This window comes from Homo sapiens, chromosome 22 (genome assembly GCF_000001405.40).
Source record: "Homo sapiens chromosome 22, GRCh38.p14 Primary Assembly".
In the NCBI taxonomy this organism is placed as follows: Eukaryota; Metazoa; Chordata; class Mammalia; order Primates; family Hominidae; genus Homo; species Homo sapiens.
In genome coordinates this window covers 44,603,867-44,625,586 of record NC_000022.11, presented here as the reverse complement: position 1 = coordinate 44,625,586, position 21,720 = coordinate 44,603,867, and the positions used below count along the sequence as shown (strand labels likewise).

The 21,720-nt window shown below is 54.9% G+C and overlaps 2 long non-coding RNA genes across 2 annotated transcripts, besides 4 other annotated features; one reads left to right on the top strand and one right to left on the bottom strand.

Annotated features, from left to right (window-relative positions):
• Window positions 1–167: 167 nt before the first annotated feature.
• LINC00229 (long intergenic non-protein coding RNA 229) lies at window positions 168–19,259 on the top strand. Its single transcript, NR_044991.1, has 5 exons — window positions 168–270; window positions 2,864–2,980; window positions 3,131–3,300; window positions 18,539–18,656; window positions 18,942–19,259. It is a non-coding gene; the product is annotated as a long intergenic non-protein coding RNA 229 (long non-coding RNA).
• Window positions 791–1,290: an enhancer, noted in NCBI's record as "H3K4me1 hESC enhancer chr22:45020177-45020676 (GRCh37/hg19 assembly coordinates)". NCBI's record gives its function as "activates a minimal SCP1, AML or CMV promoter by ChIP-STARR-seq in naive H9 embryonic stem cells {active_cell/tissue: H9 hESC(naive)}" and the evidence as "EXISTENCE:reporter gene assay evidence [ECO:0000049][PMID:30033119]".
• On the bottom strand, window positions 795–1,509 carry LOC105373060 (uncharacterized). Its single transcript, XR_938301.1, has 2 exons — window positions 1,431–1,509; window positions 795–1,034 (listed from the first exon to the last, which is right to left on the bottom strand). It is a non-coding gene; the product is annotated as an uncharacterized LOC105373060 (long non-coding RNA).
• Window positions 5,117–5,881: an enhancer, noted in NCBI's record as "H3K27ac-H3K4me1 hESC enhancer chr22:45015586-45016350 (GRCh37/hg19 assembly coordinates)". NCBI's record gives its function as "activates a minimal SCP1, AML or CMV promoter by ChIP-STARR-seq in naive H9 embryonic stem cells {active_cell/tissue: H9 hESC(naive)}" and the evidence as "EXISTENCE:reporter gene assay evidence [ECO:0000049][PMID:30033119]".
• Window positions 6,983–7,484: an enhancer, noted in NCBI's record as "H3K4me1 hESC enhancer chr22:45013983-45014484 (GRCh37/hg19 assembly coordinates)". NCBI's record gives its function as "activates a minimal SCP1, AML or CMV promoter by ChIP-STARR-seq in naive H9 embryonic stem cells {active_cell/tissue: H9 hESC(naive)}" and the evidence as "EXISTENCE:reporter gene assay evidence [ECO:0000049][PMID:30033119]".
• Window positions 17,679–18,384: an enhancer, noted in NCBI's record as "H3K4me1 hESC enhancer chr22:45003083-45003788 (GRCh37/hg19 assembly coordinates)". NCBI's record gives its function as "activates a minimal SCP1, AML or CMV promoter by ChIP-STARR-seq in naive H9 embryonic stem cells {active_cell/tissue: H9 hESC(naive)}" and the evidence as "EXISTENCE:reporter gene assay evidence [ECO:0000049][PMID:30033119]".
• Window positions 19,260–21,720: the final 2,461 nt, after the last annotated feature.

Below are 21,720 nucleotides of genomic sequence, written 5' to 3'. Positions count from 1 at the left end.
GTGTGTCCCTGCCCATCCGCCTCCTGATGGGGTGTGGAGAGGACCCCCTGGGATGGGTGAGTGAGGCTCCCGGCGCTCAGCGTCCAGCAAGTAATGATGATGATGAAAACAATGACGCTGTCACTTTAACAAACAGCCACTGTTGTTTCCATGACACTGGGAACCTGGACCACCTAGAACTGCCTCCTTCCAAGCGACACTGGGGCTGGCTCCCCATCTGAGCCGTCTGGAGACCCTGTGGCTGGCAGGCGACGCCGTCCCCCCGCCCAGGTGCTCCCAGCCCCCAGACCTACTGCAGCCCGGGAGGGGCTGAGGGTGCGGTTCCCGCAGGGTCCAGGGTTCTTTCTGGCTCTTGGAAGAGTGTGTGCCCTCTGATCCCCCCTAAATCCCACAGGGCCCCACCCTCTCTGGGCCTTCCCCGTGGTTTGCCAGCATGGGGGCCGGCCTGAAATGGCCCTGAGAGGCCACGAGCCCAGCTGGCCCCTCTGTGTGTGCCCAGGCCAGGCCCTTGGGCAGCAGCTCAGGGTACACTGGTGCTGCTGCCGGGCCCCTGCCTTATGACGGTGCCTTTGGGGTCAGGCAGTGGGTGTTGTTCAAGAGCAGCCTCGGGCCCTCCATGTTGCACGCTGACACGGCCTTGGCCACAGCACCCTGTCGGCCCTCATCACCCGGGCTGCCTTTGGGAGGGACAGAGTGTGGGCAGCGCTGGACCCGTGGGACCGTGTGCAGGGGAGCTGCTGCCACCCAAGGTCCCCAAGTCAGTTCTGCGGACTCACAGATGACCACAGCCTGGGGGACTTAAAACAACAGACATTTATTCGATCGCAGTTCTGGAGGCCAGAGGTCCGAAATCAGGGTGTCGGCAGAGCCAGGCTCCTCTGAGGGCTCAGGGGGATCTTTCCTGCCTCTCCCAGCTCCTGGGGGCCCCGGTTCCTTAGCTTGTGGTCCTGTCCCTCTCATTCTTCCTCCATCCTCACGTGGCCTCCCTCTGTGTCTTCTCCTCTTCTGTCTCTTACAAGGACACTGTCATGGGACTTAGGGCCCACCAGAAAAAATCCAGGATGCAATTAGATCCTGTCTCCAAATAAGGTCATTCTCACAGGTTCAGGGGATTAGGATGTGGGCAGTCCCCAGGCAGGCAGGGCAGAACCGGCTCAGACCCTGCAACCCGTCTCCCGGCCCTGTGCCCCTCTGTCCTGGGGGCCCCCCTTCTCCGTCTGTTTGTCATCCACTATCAGCATCCGGAGGGGCTCCCCACCCCCACTCTGGAGGGTCTACTGAGTGGTCTCTGGTGGCCTCCACCAGCCTGGGCCTGGTGCTGAGCTGGCAGCAGAGGCCTGCCCGGGGAACCCCGAAGGGACTGAATATCCTGAATATCACCCTCCCCTTGCTACACCCTGGTTGTCACCAAAGCTCCGCCCAAACCTCACCTCCTCCTGGACACCGTCGCAGACCACCAGGCATGCTTGGGACTCCTCTGGGCTCCCTCTCTCCAGCCCAGACCACTCCATTGTGATCTCAGACTGGGGGCTCACCCAGGGCCCCAGGGGTCTAGCGCCCTGTGCTCCATCCCATAGCCTGGGACCCCCCCAGATGGCCCAGCAGGTGGTGGGAGAGCACCCATCCCTCCCCCCAGCACACAGAGAGGGCAGGCGGGGGCCCTCTGTCCCAGGAGCTTCTCCCCCACCGCTCACTCTCTGTCTTTGCACCGTGAAGACGGCCAAGGGGTGGCGCTCGGGCTCCAGAGCCGCCGTCACTCAGCCCCGCGATGCTCTTCAGCCTGGGCCCTGGTGGCGTGGCTGCCGTCGGCTGCCACCTTACACCCAGCACCCCTACATTTGGAACCCTCTGCAGTTTCTTGAAAAGACCTCCTTCTTGCCTCTGGGCTTTGCACGTGCCGTTCCCACTTTCCTGCTGCCCAGTCCCCCGACCCCCTCCTTCCAGCCTTCTCTGTGAGGGATGGGTCAGGGTACCCTGATGCCCCCGCCGGGTAAGACTCGATTGATGACAGCACAGTCCCACCTCCATGCCCCTGCACACCCCATTTTTCTTCTTTGTGTTTCCTTCTTGTCCCCCAAATTTATTTCTATTTCCTAATCTTCCTTCCTTTCTTTCTCTTTCTTTCTTTCTTTCTTTCTTTCTTTCTTTCTTTCTTTCTTTCTTTCTTTCTTTCTTTCTTTCTTTTTTCTTCTCTCTCTCTCTCTCTATATATATATATGGTGTGTCACTCTGTCGCCTAGGCTGGAGTGCAGCCGTACAATCTCGGCTCACTGCAAATGCTGCCTCCTGGGTTCCAGTGATTCTCCCGCCTCAGTTTCCCAAGTAGCTGGGATTACAGGCACCCGCCACCATGCCTGGCTAATTTTTGTATTTTTAGTAGAGATGGGGTTTCACCATGTTCGCCAGGCTGGTCTCGAACTCCTGACCTCAGGTGATCTGCCCACCTCGGCCTCCCGAAGTGCTGGGATTACAGGCGTGAGCCACCGTGCCCGGCCTCTTTCTCATTTTTCTAATCTCAGCCAAGAAAAGACCTCCTCCCGGAAGCCTGCCCTGATTCCCTGGCTGAGCAGGCTCCCTCTTTCCTTGGAACCCCACCCTGTGGAAGCTGCCCCTTTCTCATGAAGTGGGGCCCTCCGGCCTAAAGTTGGGGTCATGGATGTGCCGGCCAAAGGTCTCCTGGTCCAGATGCCTTCGAGCCCCCACTTTCCCGAGGCCAGGCATGGAGTCTCAGATCTCAGGAGCCCAGTGCCCACCTGGGTGTTGAGCGGGAGTTCAGGGGACACTCAGTGAGTCACCGCCAGACACCAGGCAGCGACGGCGTGATGGAGTGAAGTCGCTGACCCAGAAACCTGTCTCTGTGCAGGGCCAAGGGGGAGCAGGGCTGTGGAGAGCATGACCCCCTTGTTAAACCACGTCTGCCTTTATGCCTCGATACACCACACAGAGAGATGACGGGAGATACCACCAAGATGAGATGCCAGTGAGTCTTACTTTTGTTTGTATACTTTCCTGTATTGTTTGAAATTTTTTTACAATGTTATTTTTATTATCCTATAAATCAATACAATTATTCCCAGCTTTGAAAAAGTGAAAGCCTTGAGTGATGTGGCTCCACTTCTCGTTCCCACAGACCCGGGAGAGGCTCTGCAGGTCCCCTGGTGCCCACGTCTACCTGGCTTGTCCCCACAGGTGGGTTTTCTGAGACAAGGGGGCTTTTGGACACAGGTCTGTCCCCAGAGCCAGCCAGCAGCTCCAGAGAAGAGACAGCAGGTGCCCAGGACGATGCGGCTTAGTTGCCAGGTAACGGTGGTCACCATAGCAACAGCTGCCTCCTCAGAGGCCGCAGAAGCCTCGGCACCCCCCACCCTGCAGACCGGGGGTGGGGGAGGCAGTGGTGTGGGGCTGCCCCTGCCCACTCGGCCACCCACTTCTGGGGCTTTTCTTTCCCTTCCCCCTCCCACCCTTGCTTCAGGATCGGGGTGGGCTGTGGGGTGGGGGCCACCACGGCCCAGCCCTGGGATCTGCTCCTGGCCCTTCCATGGACTCTCCTGTGCCCCTGCCCTTTTTGGGGCTCAGTGTCCCCATCTGCCACATGTGGTGGCAGTCTCTGCTTTTCCCTCCCATTCACAAGCGTCTCTGGAGCGTCTGCCCCATGCCAGGCACTGCATTGGCCAGGGTGCCCCTTGCTGCCTGGCATAGTGTGGGTTGTGTGATCGGGGCCCCAGGCTTGTTCGGGTAAGTGAGCAGTCACGAGTGTGGAAATGGAGAATCTCAGGGCTGGGGGCAGCAAAGCCGGGGTCTGGGGCCAGTTCTGCCCTGGGCCTCAGTTTCCCTGTGTGTGGCAGGAGTGAGCCTCCCTTGCCTGCCTCCACAAGGGCTGCTTTGAGACAAAGAGAAACAGGGGCTGGGAGCACAGGGAAGCAGCGGGGTCACTGCCTCCTCCCCGGAGACTGGGGCGCAGAGCAGGAGAGGTCAGTTCTTTCTCCCAATTTTCGTGCCGCCACGGTCTCCTCCACACTCGGCTTCCCTGCCGTAGCCCTTCACCTGGCTCCATCTCCTGGGCATTTATTTATTTATTATTATTATTTGAGACAGAGTTTCGCTCTTGTCACCCAGGCTGGAGTGCAGGGGTGCGATCTCGGCTCACTGCAGCCTTCGCCTCCCGGGTTCAAGTGGTTCTCCTGCCTCAGCCTCCCAAGTAGCTGGGACTGCAGGCATGCACCACCACGCCCGGCTAATTTTATATTTTTAGTAGAGAGAGGGTTTCTCCATGTTGGTCAAGCTGGTCTTGAACTCCTGACCTCAGGTGATCCGCCCGCCTGGGCCTCCTAAAGTGCTGGGATTACAGGCATGAGCCACAGCACCCGGCCTCCCGGGCATTTAATTACACAATTGCCTGTTGCCCCATCCCCATCGTTGTGTCCCTGGCCGGTGCCTCTCCCCAGTCCCTCTGGACTGGGTGTTCCAGTGCCTCTGCCTGCACACTGCAGCATCCCTGGTGTGCTGGGTGACCCAGGACAAGGCCCTAGGCCTCTCTGAGCCTGCGTCTCTTCGTCACCTCCGTGGGAGGTGTGTGTTTCCATCCCGGCGCATCCCAGCGCCCTGACAGTAACTCGGGGAGGCTCCTGGTGGGGTCAGGGCACCTCACCTCTGACAGCCTGGGTTCCTCATCTGTGGCTGAGGGAGACCCAGTGGCCCTGTCCAAGGCCAAGGGGCTGCCGGGGGAGCCGGCATACATGAGGGGCCCGCCAGACCCACAGACACGGATCCAAGCCATCTGGGGACCCAGGCACTTCCGGGCCACCTGGCCCAATCCCGTTTGTGTTTGCGCTCCATCCTTAACCCATTCTGCTCCTGTTCATCCATCATCCCCCGGTGTGTCGGCTTCTGGAAGGGTCTGTGGGGGCCCAGCCATCCCCAGGCCCTGCGTGGGCGGCTGTGATCCCAGGAGCAGCTGCCAGAGAGGCCCAATTTTGACCGTCGGAGGGGGATGTGTTAAGCGCTAGGCTTCCCTCATCCCCGATTAGTCGCCATGGCAACCTCCTAGCAACCACGCAAACAGGACGTGTGCAGCCGGCGCCGTGTGGTTGTCGGAAACGGGGACTCGCGGTGCCATCCGGGGTCACTTTGGGGAGGCCGAGGTCCAGGCCAAGGACCCGGAGCCCGGGAGCCGCCCGTCCGCCCCTTGTGTATTTCACTTTAAGTGACACCAGCATTGCCCAGAACACAATTCGACCCCGCCCAGCCGCAGCGCTGGACCCTCAGCAGGTCTGCACGTCTGGGGGTCACAGCGGCCTCCTAGTTTCCGGGAACGCCGCCTGCACCGACAGGCTCTGCTGACCCCGCCAGTGTGGCTGAGCCTGGTTCCCGCCACGTGGGGTTTTGCGGGCGTCACTGAGAGCGGCCTGGGCCCCGTCACAGCGCTGACCCTGTGCTCACCCCTGGGCTTCTCCCACCCCCGTGGGCACGCACACCACACCCACAGACTCATCCTGTACCCGCAGACACGCACCACGCACACTCCACACGCACGCTCCACAGTACACACACCTCACACAGACACACACCACGCACCACACTTCACACACACACTCCACAGTACACACACCTCACAAAGACACACACCACGCACCACACACACACGCACTCCACAGTACACACACCTCACACACACCACGCACCACACACACTCCACAGTACACACAACTCACACACACACCATGCAGCACACTTCACACACATACCACAGTACACACAACTCACACACACACCATGCAGCACACTTCACACACATACCACAGTACACACAACTCACACACACACCATGCAGCACACACGCCTCACATGGACACACACCACACACCACACACTCTTCACACGCACACTCCACAGCACACACGCCTCACACACACACCACACACACTCATACACACTCCATAGTACACACACCTCACACAGACACACACCACGCACCACACACACTTCACACACACACACACTCCACAGTACACACACCTCACACGGACACACACCACACACCACACACACTTCACACACACACACTCCACAGTACACACACCGCACACGGACACACACCACGCACCACACACACTTCACACACACACACTCCACAGTACACACACCTCACACACACACCACACACCACACACGCACTCCACAGTACACACAACTCACACACACACCATGCAGCACACACACCTCACATGGACACACACCACACACCACACACTCTTCACATGCACACTCCACAGTACACACGCCTCACACACACACCACGCACCACACACACTCATACACACTCCATAGTACACACACCTCACACAGACACACACCACGCACCACACACACTTCACACACACACACTCCACAGTACACACACCTCACACACACACCACACACCACACACACTTACACACATTCCACAGTACACACACCTCACACGGACACACACCACACATCACACACTCACACACACACATACTCCACAGTACACACATCGCACATAGACACACACCACGCACCACATACCATGCTCCTTCACTCATGGACACACATACATCTACATACACACACACATTACACAGTACACACACCTTACACAGACACACACATATACCACATACACACACCCACACACTCACTCCACAGGCCCCTTTGCTTGAAATTCCACCACACCCAACACCTCACCACACTTTCGGTGGGCTGCCCAGAAAGGGTATTGGCCGATTGGAGCCCCCACCCCTGAGAAATCCACCCAGAGAGGCCCCCTGCGTCTCCCCCAGCTCCCGCCCAGGAGCCCTGTCTATCTGTCCATCTGTCTGTCGGTCTGTCTGTCCGTCTGTTTGTCTGCACTCTCCAGTCCAGACCTCTCTGTAGCCCCAGGGAATTCAAAAGCTGCGGCTGCCCCTCAGGAGTGCGGGCACAGCATGGGAGGCAGGATGCACGCCCCTGCCCCTGCCCCTGCCTCTGCCCCTCCCTTCTCCCTCTGCACCTGGAGAAGCCGCCGTCCAGCAGCCCCAGGCCAGCCACGGGCGCTCTGGGCCTCGGGGAGCCCGGACACCGCACGTGAGGCTGCTCTGCTGGGGCAGGTGGGTGCGTCTGGACCTCCCCAGGGTGCTGGGGGGAGGATGGGTGCACAGCAGCCTTGGTCCGGGTTGGCCCAGCCTGGCTGAAGGGACAGGGTGCCTTTTTCCTTTCGTAGAGTATGGTCGTGTCACCTTAATTTTCTGTTGTCTGCTGGGCACAGCTTCGTGCTGCTCCTCACTGCTGCACCCAGTGCTGGAAAGTGTGTGTGTGGCTTGAGTACATCTGGGTGTGAATGCGTGTGCCAGTGTTTCCGCCTAGGTGTGTGGTGTGTGTGTGGTGTGTATGAATGAGTGTGGTATGTGCATGAGGTGTGTGGTGTGTGTGGTGGCTGTGTGTGGTGTGTGTGTGCACATGTGTGGTTGGTGTGTGTTTATGTGGCATGTGTGCTGTGCATGTGCGTGTGGTGTGTGTGTGCTGTGTGTGCCTTTGTGTACATGTGCGGTGTGTCTCTGTGGTGAATGTGTGTGTTGTGTGTGACCAGTGTGGTGTGTGTGTGGTGTGTGTGTGTTTGTGTGGTGAATGTGTCTGGTGTGGTGTGTGTGTGTGCCTGTGTATACGTGGGTGGTGTTTCTGTGTCTGCCGTGTGTGTGTACATGTGTGGTATGTCTGTGTGTGGTGAATGTGTGTGTTGTGTGTGTGTCCAGTGTGGTGTGTGTGAGGTATGTGTGTGTGTGGTGTGTGTGTTTGGTGAATGTGTCTGGTGTGTTGTGTGTGTGTGCCTGTGTATACGTGGGTGGTGTGTCTGTGTCTGGTGTTTGTGTGTGTACATGCATGGTGTGTCTGTGTGTGTGGTGAATGTGTGTGTCATGTGTGTGTCTGGCATGGTGTGTATGTGGTGTGTGTGGTGAATGTGTCTGGTGTGGTGTGTGTGCGCCTGTGTGTACGTGTGTGGTGTGCCTGTGTGGTGTGTGTGTGTGTACATGTATGGTGTGTCTGTGTGTGTCGTGTGTGTGTGTCTGGTGTGTGTATGTGGTGTGTGTGGTGAATGTGTCTGGTGTGTGTGTGTATGTGCGCGCCTGTGTGTACATGTGTGGTGTGTCTGTGTGTGTGGTGAATCTGTGTCTGGTGTGTGTGTGGATGTGCATGCCTGTGTGTATATGTGTGGTGTGTCTGTGTGGTGAATGTACGTCTGGTGTGTGTGTGTGTGTATGTGTGCGCCTGTGTGTACGTGTGTGGTGTGTCTCTGTGTGGTGAATGTGTGTCTGGTGTGTGTGTGTGTGTATGTATGCCCCTGTGTGTACGCGTGTGGTGTGGCTGTCTGGTGTGTGTATCCAGTGTGGAGTGGTGTGTGTGTGCGTGTGTGCGTGTGTGCATACCTGTGTGTATGTGTGTGGTGTGTCAGTGTGTCTGGTGGGTGGTGCATGTGTGGGGCAGGGAGGGTGGATGTGGCAGTCTCAGGGCCTCTGGGAACAGGAAGTGGCCGTGTGGAGAGGGGCCCCGGGTTGGCCCGGGTGGGGACTCATCCTGGTTCCCTCCTTCCCGGACTGACCTGGGTGGAGACTTATCCTGGCCGCCTCCCTCCCAAGCTGACCTGGGTGGGGAGTCATCCTGCCTCCCTTCCTCCCGGGCTGGCCTGGGTGGGGGCTCATCCTGGCCGCCTCCCTCCCTGACTGATCTTGGTCATTCCTGCCCCGACTTTTGTTTCCTGGCTCACGGGTGTGAGCAGGTGTGCAGGTGTGTTGGGTGGAAGGTTCCAGAACCAGAGGTCAGAAGCCCTCCCTGCCTACACTTTCCTCCTCCCATTCCTTTGCCGGGCAGAAGAGCGGGTAGCAAAGGTTCCCAGGTGGCCCGGTGACTTGGGCTCTGGCACGCCTGTGTCTGCACCTGGGGACTGATGGGGTGGGGACCGGGAGCCTCAGCTGTGGGGCCAGCGTGGGCACCCCATGCAGTGCTAAGATGTGGAGAGGGCGACTTTGTTGCTTAATTAGGAACAGGTGGCCTTTGATCTCTAAGGTGTCCTGGTGGCCTGGCTCTCTGTTTCCTTAGCAGGCACTGGGAGTCCTCCTGTTGAGAAACTGCTCAAGGGAGGTGCATTTACTAGGGACACGGAGAACCCCCAGCTTGGCTCCCCGTGGATTTGTGGCTACACTGGCCTGTCACCGGCCATTCTGGGCATAAGCGGGGCTGGGGAGAAGTGTCCCTAAAAAAGAGGACTTGACCAGAAGGGAGAGGGCTCCAAGGACAGCAGGACTGGAGGTCAGTCTAAAGGTCAGAGCTCGTTTTTCCATTCTCTGTCCGAGACTGGAGGTGGAGGGGCTGGCCCGAGTCCTATAGCCAGGTGTGGGCAGAGTCACTGGAACCCGAGTCTCCAGAGTCCTGGGCTCCTTCTGGAGACAAACCAAGCACCAGGGAGAATCCTCAGATCCCTCCTGATGCTCAGGGCCCAACCTGCAGGCCTGGGCAAAAACCTCTTCTTTCCCTGGGCACAGATCCCCCCCGGGAGGTGCAGGGACCATTTACCATACTCCCTGGAAGCCGGGCCCCTGGCTGAGTGCTCTCCAGGGATGACCTCAGCTGACCCACCTGGCCACCTATAGAGGAGGATCCTGTTCTCAGAGAGGGTGAAGTCACCTCCACAGGGACAGGGAGCTGGAGAGACGGGGGGGAGGGTTCTGAGCTTGGCTCAGACACCATAACTGCCCTCTTCTGCATGCTGGAAGCCCAACTTCGAGGGACTGGTGGATTCAGTTCCTGGCAAGGGCTCTCTCCTTGGGTTTGCAGGTGGCCACTGGGTCTTCACAGGGGGCTGGAGAGACAGGACCCCAGTGCACCCACTCTCAGCAAACCCCCACACTAGTGCTGTCATTAGCCGTGTCATGCTGTTTATTATCCCTACTGTTGCATTGTGAGTTTGTGCGTGGTGCTATCCCCGCTACTGCGATCACTTTTGTTATGGTTGTGATTATCAAAATTATTGTTGTTTCTACAGTCACTGTTATTGTTGCATTTATTATCGCCGCTTTAATTGTTATTCCTCTTTGGTGCCGACTCTCCCGGCTGTGTGCCAACTTCCCATGCAGCCGCGGTTCTCAGCACAGCGACTTTGCCCCCCAGGAGACACTCGTGTGGAGACATTTCTGGTTGTCACAGTTGTGGGGAGGTGGGCTGCTGGCGCTACTGCGTAGAGGCCAGAGGCGTGGTTGGGGCCTGCGATGCACAGGTCAGGCCCCACCACAGGGAGTTACCTTGCACAAAATGTCAATGGCGCCCTGGCTTCCACATCATCCAGAGCAGCTGGAGCCCTTTGCTGGGGCAGCAGGGAGTTGATGGGGGGAGCGGGTTCAGGTTTCTAGAGTCTTCTTTGGGAAAATGAGCATGGGGTCGTCACGGTTAAAGCTCTGCAAACCAGACCTCTGGGTTCCTACTTGGCTTCAACATTTTCCTGCTGTGTAGACTTAGCCTGCCTGGGATTCTAGAACGAAATAACATGGACTAGGGGCTTAAACAAAGGATGTTCATCTCTCATAATTCTGTATGCTGGAAGCCCAACTTCGAGGGGCTGGTGGATTCAGGTCCTGGCAAGGGCTCTCTCCTTGGGTTTGCAGATGGCCACTGGGTCCTCACAAGGGAGAGGGAGAGAGAGGAGCATGAAGGGGAGGAGGAGGAAGAGGGCAGTTACAGTGTCTCTTCCTCTTCTTATAAGGCCACTAATCCCATCACAGGGGCCCCATCCTTATCTAAACCTAATCACATCCCAAACACTCCACCTCCATATACTGTACTATCACATTGGAGGTTAGCTTCTTCTTTTTTTTTTCTTTTTTTTTTTTGATAGAGTCTCACTCTTTTGCCCAGGCTGGAGTACAGTGGTGTAATCATGGCTCACTGCAGCCTCAACCTCCTGGGCTCAAGCAATCCTCCTACCTCAGCCTCCTGGGTGGCTGGGACCACAGGCATGCACCACTACACTGGCTAAGGTTTTAAAACATTTTTTGTACAGAAAAGGTTTGGCCATGTTGCCCAGGCTGGTCTTAAACTCCTGGGTTTAAGGGCTCCTCCTGCCTTGGCCTCCCAATGTGCTTGGTTTGAAGGCATGAGCCACTGAACCTGGTCTCAAAGCTTCAACATATGAATTTGGGGGGACACATTCAGTCCATAACATGTGTGATCTTTTTTCAAAATTTATTTTTGCTATAAAAAATGTATGATAACATACATACACATCTATACACCCTTGTGGCTGCCACCTGGCCAAGGTGTCCTTGTGTTCTCTCTCCCTCAGCACATTTCCTACCCTGGTGGTGCCACGGCTTCTGGCACTGCAGGTAGTTTTGTCTGTTCTTGAGCTTCACGTCCCCAGAATCATCCCAGCCAGAGCCATTTCTGTCTGAGTTCTTCTGTTTATCGTTATTCTCACAAGATCTGCCCATTTACAAAAAGGAGCAGTTGTTTGTTCCCTTTTTATTTGTATTATTCTATTGTATGAATATACCTAATTTACCATCCCTTCTCCTATTGATGGATATTGGGTTTGTTTTCAGTTTTTGTCTACTTTGAAAAAAGCTGTTATGAATTTTCTTTTCTTTTTTTTTGAGGTGGAGTCTCACTCTGTCACTCAGGCTGGAGTGCAGTGGCACGATCTTGGCCCACTGCAACCTCCGCCTCCTGGGTTCAAGCAATTCTCCTGCCTTAGCCTCCCGAGTAGCTGGGATACAGGCATGCTCTACCACGCCGAGCTAATTTTTGTATTTTTAGTAGAGATGGGGTTTCACCATGTTGGCCAGGCTGGTCTTGAACTCCCGACCTGAGGTGATCCACTCGCCTCAGCCTCCCAAAGTGCTGGGATTACAGGCATGAGCCACCATGCCTGACTGAATTTTATTTTATATGCCTTTGGTGGACACAAGATCTCATTACTTTTGGGTATATATTTAGGAGTGGAATTGCTGGGTCAAAGGGTTGGACTCAATGTAGCTTTCACAGGTGCTTTCAAACCTTTTTATAAAGTAGTTATTTGGTATCTTCAAAAAATTTTAAGTAGACTTTTTTAAAGAACATTTGTAGACTTACAAGTGAAATTAAGATGATAATACAGAGAGTTCCCACACACCCTGCCCCTAGTTCTCCTATTTTTAGCATCTTGCATCAGCATGGTACATTTGATGCGAGTATTAAACCAATGTTGCTAACATTCTCATTAACAAAAGCCCATATTTTATTCAGTTTTGTTCGTTTTTAACCTAACATCCTTTTTCTGATCCAAGATCCCACTCAGGATCCCACATGACATTTAGTTGTCATGTCCCATTAGGTTCCTCTGGGTGGTGACAGCCTTTTTTTTTTTTAATTTGCCATCTTTAAAGAAAATGTTAATTAAAAACATAGAGATAATTGTAGATGCACACACAGTTGTAAGAAGTAATAGGCCGGGTGCGGTGGCTCACACCTTTAATCCCAGCACTTTGGGAGGCTGGGGCAGGAGGATCATGAGATCAAGAGATTGAGATTATCCTGGCCAACACGGTGAAACCCTGTCTCTACTGAAAATACAAAAATTAGCTGGGCAAGGTGGCACACGGCCATAGTCCCAACTACTTGGGAGGCTGAGGCAGGAGAATCGCTTGAACCCAGGAGGTGGAGGTTGCAGTGAGCTGAGATCGCACCACTGCACTCCAGTGCAGGGTGAGACTCTGTCTCAAAAAAAAAAAAAAAAGTAATAGCAAGGAGGCCAGGTGCAGTGGCTCACACCTATAATCTCAGCAGTTTGGGAGGCTGAGGTGGGCAGATCACTTAAGGCCAGGAATTCAAGACCAGCCTGACCAACATGGTGAAACCCCGTCTCTACTAAAAATTAGCTGGTCATGGTGGTGCACCCCTGTAATCCCAGCTACTCAGGAGGCTTAGGCAGGAGAATCACTGGAACCCAGTGTGGAAAGTAAAAAGATTCCTCTTCAAAGTTTCCCTTCTTGTTAAAGAATAAATCATAAGTGTTAGAAATAATAGTTTCTTTTAAAGGCTAACTTCCTTCAAGCCTCCTTGCTTTGTGCTAATAACTGTTTGTTAAGCCCTATCCTAGGTAGCTTTTAGATATAAGGGAATGAGTGCATTCTATGTCCTTGTACTTTAACCAAGGTATTTGTTCTAGACATGCTCAGGCATGTCCCAGCTCACAGCTTATGCACCTTCTTTATTTGGAAATGTTATTACTTCTCTAAGTCTTTTCATAAGCAACTTCCTCTTTTCCTTTGTTCTCCCTTGACTTTACCTATTTAGGAAAGTTTTAAGTTATTAACCAGTCAGGTTTAGCTTAGATTGTGAGGTCCAGCTCCAGCCAATGGAGACAGGACACAGTAGCAGGGACAAACCGCATAAGGGATAAAAATTGCTTCCCTCCTTTGTTCAGGTGTGCTCTCGCCATTGCTGCATCTGTGAGGAGCACCCTTTCTGCAGAAAGCAAAGTTGCCTTGCTGAGAAAATTCTTTGTCTGAGCTCTAGTTGTTCTTTTTGGCACCAAGGAACAAGCATTTCTAAGGGAATAAGCATTTTACTTATAACCACCCAGGAGGCAGAGGTTGCAGTGAGCAGAGATGGCACCACTGCACTCCAGCCTGGGCAACAGAGCAAGACTCTGTCTCAAAAAAAAAAAAAAAGAAGAACAGGAAGGTGTCCTTTACACATTTTGCCCAGTTTCCTTCGATGGCAATATTTTGCAAAACTATAGTACAATAATAGTACAACCAGGAAATGGACACTGGGGCAATCCACCAATCCTATTCAGATTTCTCCAGTTTGCCTGTACTAGTGTGTATGTGTGTGTGCGTGGGTGTGTGTGTGTGTGAATTCTGTACAGCTTTATCATTTGTGCAGGTTCCTGTCTCCACCACCCCTGTCATGGTGTGGAAGAGCTCCATCACCATGAGAATCCTTGGAGTTGGAGTTACCTTTTTATGGCCACACCCACCCCTCTTCCACATCCCTAATCCCTGGCACCACCTATCTGTCCTCCAATTCTAAAGTTTTTTCATTACAAAAATGTATACACGGACTTGTGCTGCATCATACTTTTTGGGATTGCTTTTATTCACTCAGCCTAATTCCCTGGATTCCTCCAGCTTGCTGAGTGGATTAATAGTTCCTTTTTACTGCAGAGTACGGTCCCACGGCCTGGATGTTCCTGTTTCTTTCTTTCTTTCTTTTTTTGAGATGGAATTTCCCTCTTGTTGCCCAGGCTGGATTGCAATGGCATGATCTTGGCTCACTGCAACCTCTGCCTCCTGGGTTCAAGTGATTCTCCTGCCTCAGCCTCCCAAGTAGCTGGGATTACAGGCATGCGCCACCACGCCCAGCTAATTTTGTGTTTTTAGTAGAGACAGGGTTTATCCATGTTGGCCAGGCTGGTCTCGAACTCCTGACCTCAGGTGATCTGCCTGCCTTGGCCTCCCCAAGTGCTGGGATTACAGCCGTGAGCCACCGCGCCTGGCCTGGATGTTCCTGTTTAACCATTGGTGGATGAAGGACATCAGGGCTGTTTCCAGTTTTGGCTATGACAAGTCAAGCTGCTATGAACACTTGTGTACAGGTTTTTGTGCAGATGTTTTATTTCTTTAAGACGAGTGCCCAGGAATGCAATTGCTGGGTCACCCGGTAATTATATGTTTAGTTTTTTTTTTTTTTTTTTTGAGACGGAGTTTTGCTCTTGTTGCCCAGCTGGAGTGCAGTGGCACGATCTCAGCTCACTGCAACCTCTGCCTCTGGGGTTCAAACGATTCTCCTGCCTCAGCCTCCCGAGTAGCTGGGATTACAGGCACGCACCACCATGCCTGGCTAATTTTTTTGTATTTTCAGTAGACAGGGTTTCATCATGTTGGCCAGGCTGGTCTCAAACTCCCAAAGTGCTGGGATTACAGATGTGAGCCACCGCGCTCGGCCTATGTTTAGATTTTTTAAGAAATAGCCAAGCTGTTTTTCCAGTGTGTCTGTCCCAAGACATCCATAGCAGCAGCATATCATGATCCGGGTTCTTCACATCCTTGTGAGTGTCTGGTGTCATTATTTTTCATTTTAGCCATTCTGTTAGGTGTGTGGGAGAGGTGTGATATTGAGTTAGTTACTTCACTTCTCTGAGCTCTATGTCCTCATCATGGGCCGTCTGATACGGCTGTCAGAAATGCTGGTGAAGTAAACACGTGTAAAGAACTTGGAACGATGCCTGCTCTGTTAAGAGGGCTCCTAACACCTTAATAATTATGATCACATTGAACTATACGAAATTGCCAATGTGGGATCACTTTTGGCCCATAAAAACCCTGAGACTTGATACAGCTCCTCCTCATATTGTTATTAAGGATCAAATGCCTGCATGATTCAGAGTGCAGGGCAGACGTGTCCCTCCTGCCTCCGCACCAGCTGGGTGGGCTCCTTGGTCCTCACCTGCAGGGAGGGCTTTGGTGCCCGGTGAGCCACTGGGCTTCCCCAGCAAGCCACAGCTTGTCACCTGAGGTCAGGGCAGAGGAGGAGCTAGAAGATTCATCTGGTCACTGAGTAGAGTAGGCAGGGGGCGGGGGAGAAGAGTGGTTGGGCACTGTGCCAGTGGGTGGCTGGGTGATGGGCGTGGTGGGCAGGGCCTGGGCCAGCTCATACTGTGCCCATGGATGGCTGGGTGATGGACATGGTGGGCAGGGCCTGGACCAGCTCTCTTGAGTCCTGGGTTTTCCTACCTCTGATCTGGGGTGGGGCGTGGTGGCACCAGATCCTTCCTCTTTGAGCTCCACTGTTCCAGTGCCCACTGAGGGGCCGTCACGGGGTGATAGGGGTCGGGATGTGGTGGTACTCTGGACAGCTCCTAGGTGCTGGGCAGATGTGCAAGGGTTTCATTATTATGGACAAGCATTTGGAGAGCAGAGCCCAGCCTCCTGCAAGTGGGGATCTGTTCGGAGGGACAGCCTAAGACCCCCTCGGGGAAGGGCGCTGCCTGCAGAGCTACCAAGATGCTGGAAACCTTGGACTGGCCCGTGCATGAGGGTGATCTGCAGGGCCTGGCTGCTCTCTGCCGAGCCCTTAAGAAGGGATGGGGCCATGCCCAGGCATCTCTGTGTCCCCAGGGGCCCAAGGAAGGGGCTCCGTGAGGTTGGCCAAGCAGCCGAGTCATAAGAAGCTTCATTTATGGGGGACGGTGCTGCTTCCAGAACACACTCTCCTCCATCTCCTTAAGGGCAAACGACCTTATAAGGGAGTCCTGGCACCTTCCCAATTTTTCAGGCTCAAGAGAGGCTCCCTCAATGAGGCAAGCAGAGTCCCTGCCCAGAGCCCCCAACTCCACACCTCCCCAGGATGCAGGCCCAGGAGAGGCCCCCTCGATGAGGCGAGCAGAGTCCCTTCCCGGAGCCCCCCAACTCCACACCTCCCCAGGACGCAGGCCCAGGAGAGGCCACACCCTTGTTTCTCTCCTGCTTCCCCAGCATGGCCTCAAGAATGCGGGAAACAGTTCTGGAGACAGTCAGATGAGTGTCTCACTGGTATCTTCCCCTGCCCAAGGACCCCCGTACCCCACCTATCCCGCCCTCTCCAGGCTGAAGCCTCCAGGGCTGAAAGCCAGGCCACCGGTCTAGCACTTGGGGGGTCCAGGGGCCCCATCATACCCTCCCCTGCTGTCTTGTGGGGAACCAGGGTGGGAGCTGCCCTTGGAAGCAGTCCAGGAGAGGGGACACTCCCTCTGATTGTTATGCAAATTGCTGGGCTTCGCTGATTACCATACATGCATATTAATCCTGCCTGGGCTGGGATGGGACAGGCTGTCTGGGCCTCATGGCAGGCTGCTTCGGGGCTGGTTTGGGAGCAGTTGAAAAGCAAAGGAAAGGAGGCTGCCTCTCTCTGGCCCTGCTTAAGTGAAAGGTAGATGAGGGTTTTGTCTCCAGGGGCCCTGCTGGGTTCAAGGTGCCAGATGCCTGTGGAGCCCCAGGAGGGTGAAGCACTGGCAGGCACACCTGGTGGGCTTGGAGGTGGGGCATAAGGGTATCTGGCCCCAGGGCATCCTTAGCGTGGTGACTAGCGTACCCCGGGAAACAGGCGGATGGAGGGTGAGGGTCAGGGCAGGAGGAGTCCACTGCCGAACTGGAGCCTGGACAGAATGGGCTGGCCTGGAGGGCACCGGCGCTACTCTGCTGCCCAAGTTCCACACCTGGATTCTGATATCAGCAACGCTCTGGAAGGCAGGACAGAGCATCCCCATTCTACAGATGAGAATGCAGAGGCTCAGACAGGGGAAGAGGCTTCCCCGAGGCCACACAGCGGGAGAGGGCCGGCACTGGAGCCCAGGCCTGCCTCACCGAGGGGTCCCCTCAGGTCCGTTCTGTGTCATGGAGTGGGAGGCTGGCCTGACCTGACAGCCAGCAGGTGAGGGCTCAGCTCTGTCTCTCTGAGCTGGGAGAAGTTGTGGTTCCCCTGATATGTGTGGGTTTCCTCCCTGGGAGATGCGCAAATCATCACACCTGCCCACTCGGCCACCGTGAGGGTTAAACGACAGAGCTCTAGGAATATACCTCACTCTAGCTGTTGTTGCTGGTCCTGGGAGCGTAAGTCGGGCGGGGAAGGGAAATGGGGCATCACCAAGGGGTCCTCTAGCAGTGCCTTAGGATCGGGAGAGGCTGCTGTGGCTGGGACCCAGTCTCAGACATCCAGAGCCTTCAGAACTTAGGGGCCCCAAGGAAGTCACTGAAGCTTCGTTTGTGGGGGATGTTGCTGTTTCCAGAACACTCTCCCACCTCCTGGATTCCGTCGGGTGAGGTTTTAAAGTCATACTCACAGGTGCTGGGGGTGAGGATCTCAACCTGTTTAGGGGACCGCATTTGTACCCACACCTCCCTTCCCTGCCGCACCTGACCCTGTGCCCCTTTGCTGTCTAGAACCTTCCTTTCTGCCCCATTTCTGAGGCCCCTTCCCTCTGAATGCCCCTCCCAGGCCTCCTCTTGGCCGTGTGTGTTCGGGGCCTGTCCCGGCTGCCTCCGCTCTTTCTGTGCCTCTCTCTGGGTCAACTCAAATTCTGATGGCTCCTGGTATCTCCACGACCCCGACTCTCTCATCTGAGCCTCTGCCTGTGCCCTCCTGCAACCCCCATGCATCCTCAGCCTTGGCATCCCCCGAGGAAGCCCCGGGCCCCTCAGTTCACCGCAGGCTGAGCCTCCCATCTCCCCTGGGGCTGCCGTTTTAGCTGCCCAGGCCAGGCACTGGGCGCCATGTCTGACCCTCCTCCTCCTCCATCCCCATCCTCCTTCCCCACCACCGGCCATCCCTCTGCTCCACCCCTGCTCAGGTCTCGCCTCCTCCCTGGGCCCCTGCCTGCACCTGACTGTTCTGCAGCCTCCACTCTCCTCCCTGGCAGTTTGCTGATGTCAATGCTGCAGGTGGCCTAGGCACTGCTACCCCTGGGCGAGGGGGTCTCCGTTTTCCAAATCTTGCTTTTTCACCACTGGAGCCCACCTTCTTATCCTCTTAGGTTGCCACGAAACATCCAATATTTGAAAGTGTTCTATGGACCTCAAAGGGCAAGAGACACCTTAAAATGTTTGCTGGATGGCTGTAGGAGGGTAGAGCCCTGGTGGGCACACCTGGTGGTGAGCTTGGAGGCGGTAGGAGGGTAGAGCCCTGGCGGGCACACCTGGTGGTGGGCTTGGAGGTGGTAGGAGGGTAGAGCCCTGGCGGGCACACCTGGTGGTGGGCTTGGAGGCAGGGTGTAAGGAGACCTGCCTCCAGGTAGGAGGGAGGGGAAGGGAGGGAAGCCACAAGCTGCATGTGGCCGGAGGGGGTGAGGGTGCGAGGCAGGGAGGCCGGCCAGGTGGGTGCAGAGGGGCAGCAGGATGTGGGGGCTCCTGATGACACTGTCCTGTCTCTGCCCTCAGAGGCTCTGCTGCTCATGTTCATGGAGTCCCACGTCCACCAGGCCCTTTGAATCTCGAGTTTCTGGCTTCAGATGCCCCCAGGTTTCCAGAAGTCAAGATTTCTAACAAATGGACCCAAACCCCAAGCCAGCACCTGGAAGTGGCAGCAACACGGCTGTGTGGACCCCGGTGCTGGGAACCTTCTGGAGGCAGCTGGACACAGGGGCTGCCAGTGTGGAGAGGGACGCTGCTCATTTTGACATTTCATCTGAATAACGTTCCAAGTGTTCTAATGAAAGCCTCTGCGCTCCCTTTGAAATACTAGCAATTACAAAGATGAATAATTGCATGATAAATATTAATTTGCACCATCGTAATGAGGCCCAGAAGCATCCTGCTGCTAAGTGAGAATTTAGCTCTTTCCCCTCCCGGGCAGGGGAGGTGCTGCTCACAGCCCCTGGGGGATGCTGCCCTGCTCTGAGAGGCCCAGTACCACCGTGGCCAGCTCGCTGGGCGGGACAACGGCAAGCCCGAGCACCACCCTGCTCCTGCCACTACCTCGCTTGATGACAAAGGGCACATTGCTTCCTTCCTCTGGGCATTGTCTATTTGAGTTTTCCAAATAGACAATGGCGAAATTGGGTGAGATGACCTCTAAGGGCTCTGCCAACTCAGGCAGTCCAGGAGGTGACATCTAGAATTCCAGACTGCCTGTGGTCTACTGGTGGGAAATCCACCCCGTCCAGAGCCTCCCCTCCAGGCGCCCTCTCTCTGGGTGCTCCCGCTCTGCCTGGCATCTGGGAGACGAGCGGGTATTTGCTGAATGAAAAGCGATATCCCTTTGCCCAGAAACAGCATCTCACAGCTTTTCTTCCTTGGTCTTCACGAAATCAAAACTGACAAGTTGCCCTCCTTCCAGCTGAGTAAGTGTGGCCATCACACCCCACCCTCAGGAAGGAGGAAAAAGTGGCAGCTTGCAGCAGAGATGGAACATCCCCAAACCACAGTGACAGCACAAAGGGCTGCCTGTCTGGTTCCAGTCCCCCAAGTAAAGGACACCTGGAGTCTTCGCAGAGGCCGCTGCTTCCCCTAACGGCCCTGCCTTTTGGCGCTGAGTGTCTGCAGACCTTTGGCAACCTTTGCAAATATCATCCTCACAGAGGAGAGCTGCACCTCTTCCATCTTAAGCAGTGAACCCAGGATGCTTGGCGATCTTGGGGCTTGTTTTTTCCTCTAAACACCTGCTGTGTGTTTTATTGGGCAAGCCGTCCTTTCTGCGTCTGGGCTCCCTTGAGTCTGCAAACCTTCTTCTCTGAGTATCGTCCACTGCTGGATCTGATCCTCTGGCAAGGATCAGATTCCCCCTGTCTGCCACCCAGCAGGGAGCATGCGGGGCCACCGAAGGCACTTCCCCCAGAAATACAGCAGCCAGGCTCCAGTCAGGGGCAAACATGTCAGAAACCACACACACACACACGCACACACGCTACATGCCCATGAGGCTGAGGCTCCAGACCATGGGGCTGTGTGTGTGGCCTCAGAAGTGCATCTTGTGGGCTCTCTGTGCCCTCATGCCCCTCCTCCCCAGGGTGGACTCATGCAGCAAGAGAAGGGCTGTGTATGTGTGTATGTGTGTGTGTGTGTGGTATCTGTGTGGTATATGGTGTGTGTGTGTGTGGTGTGTGTGTGTTTGATGTGTGTGTGATGTGTGATGTGTGTGTGGTGTGTATGTGATATGTGGTGTGTGTGTGCAGGGTGTGTGTGGTGTACGATGTATGTGGTACATGGTGTGTGTGTGTGACATGTGATATGTGGCACATGGTTTGTGGTGTGTGGCATGGGATGTGTGTATGGTATATGTGTGCTATATGGTATGTGTGTGGTATATGTGTGTGGTGCATGTGTGTGTAATGTGTGGTGTATGGTGTGTGTGGTGTATGTGTGTGATATGTGGTGTGTGGCCTGTGGTGTGTGCGTGGTGTATGTGTGTATGGTGTATGTGGTGTGTGCATGTGATATGTGGTGTGTGCCATGTGATGTGTGTGGTGTGTGTATGGTGTATGTGGTGTATGTGTGTGACATGTGTGGTATGTGATGTGTGTGGTGTGTGTATGATGTATGTGGTGTATGTGTGTGATATGTGGCATGTACCACGTGTGTGTGTGTATGTGTGTGGTTTCTGACACGTGCCTCTGGAGCCCGGCTGCTGCATTTCTGGGGGAAGCGGCTTCAGTGCACCCCCCGGGCTCCCTGCTGGGTGGCAGACACGGGGAATCTGGGCCTTTTTGTTTTTTGCCTGTGTGGGTCTGTTTGCCTTGAGGATCCTGCTATCTTCAGCATTAGCAACACCCACCGCTTGATCATGGGTCCCAAGATTCTGGTTTGGTCGGCTCGAGGGCCGCCCGTCCTGACCGTGGGCTTGGGAGGGCGCCCCGGTCTCATCCTCACCACCTGTGTATATTGTGTGTCTTTTCCATCGCGGGCAGGGTCCTCTATGTTGATCTTGTTGAATCTCAATGAGTGAAAATCACTCCCGAAATGCATCTTGTGCGGCTGGAGCAGAGAGCAGCCCCTTGAGGTCTCTGGGGCTCGCGGAGCTCCGCGTTTCTGCAGCCGCTTCAGCCGCCCAGTGGGTTTTTGTGTCCTGTGCTAACTTGTGACTCATGGTTAAAGTTGTGAAACTGAGTCTGTGAGTTCTCCTTATGTGTGAACCACAAAAAACCATTTTTTTCCTCCTTGAAAAAGGAGGATCCTTAGCCTTCTGTGCTGGCCTGTTTGTAAGGGAACCTTTCTGCATCTG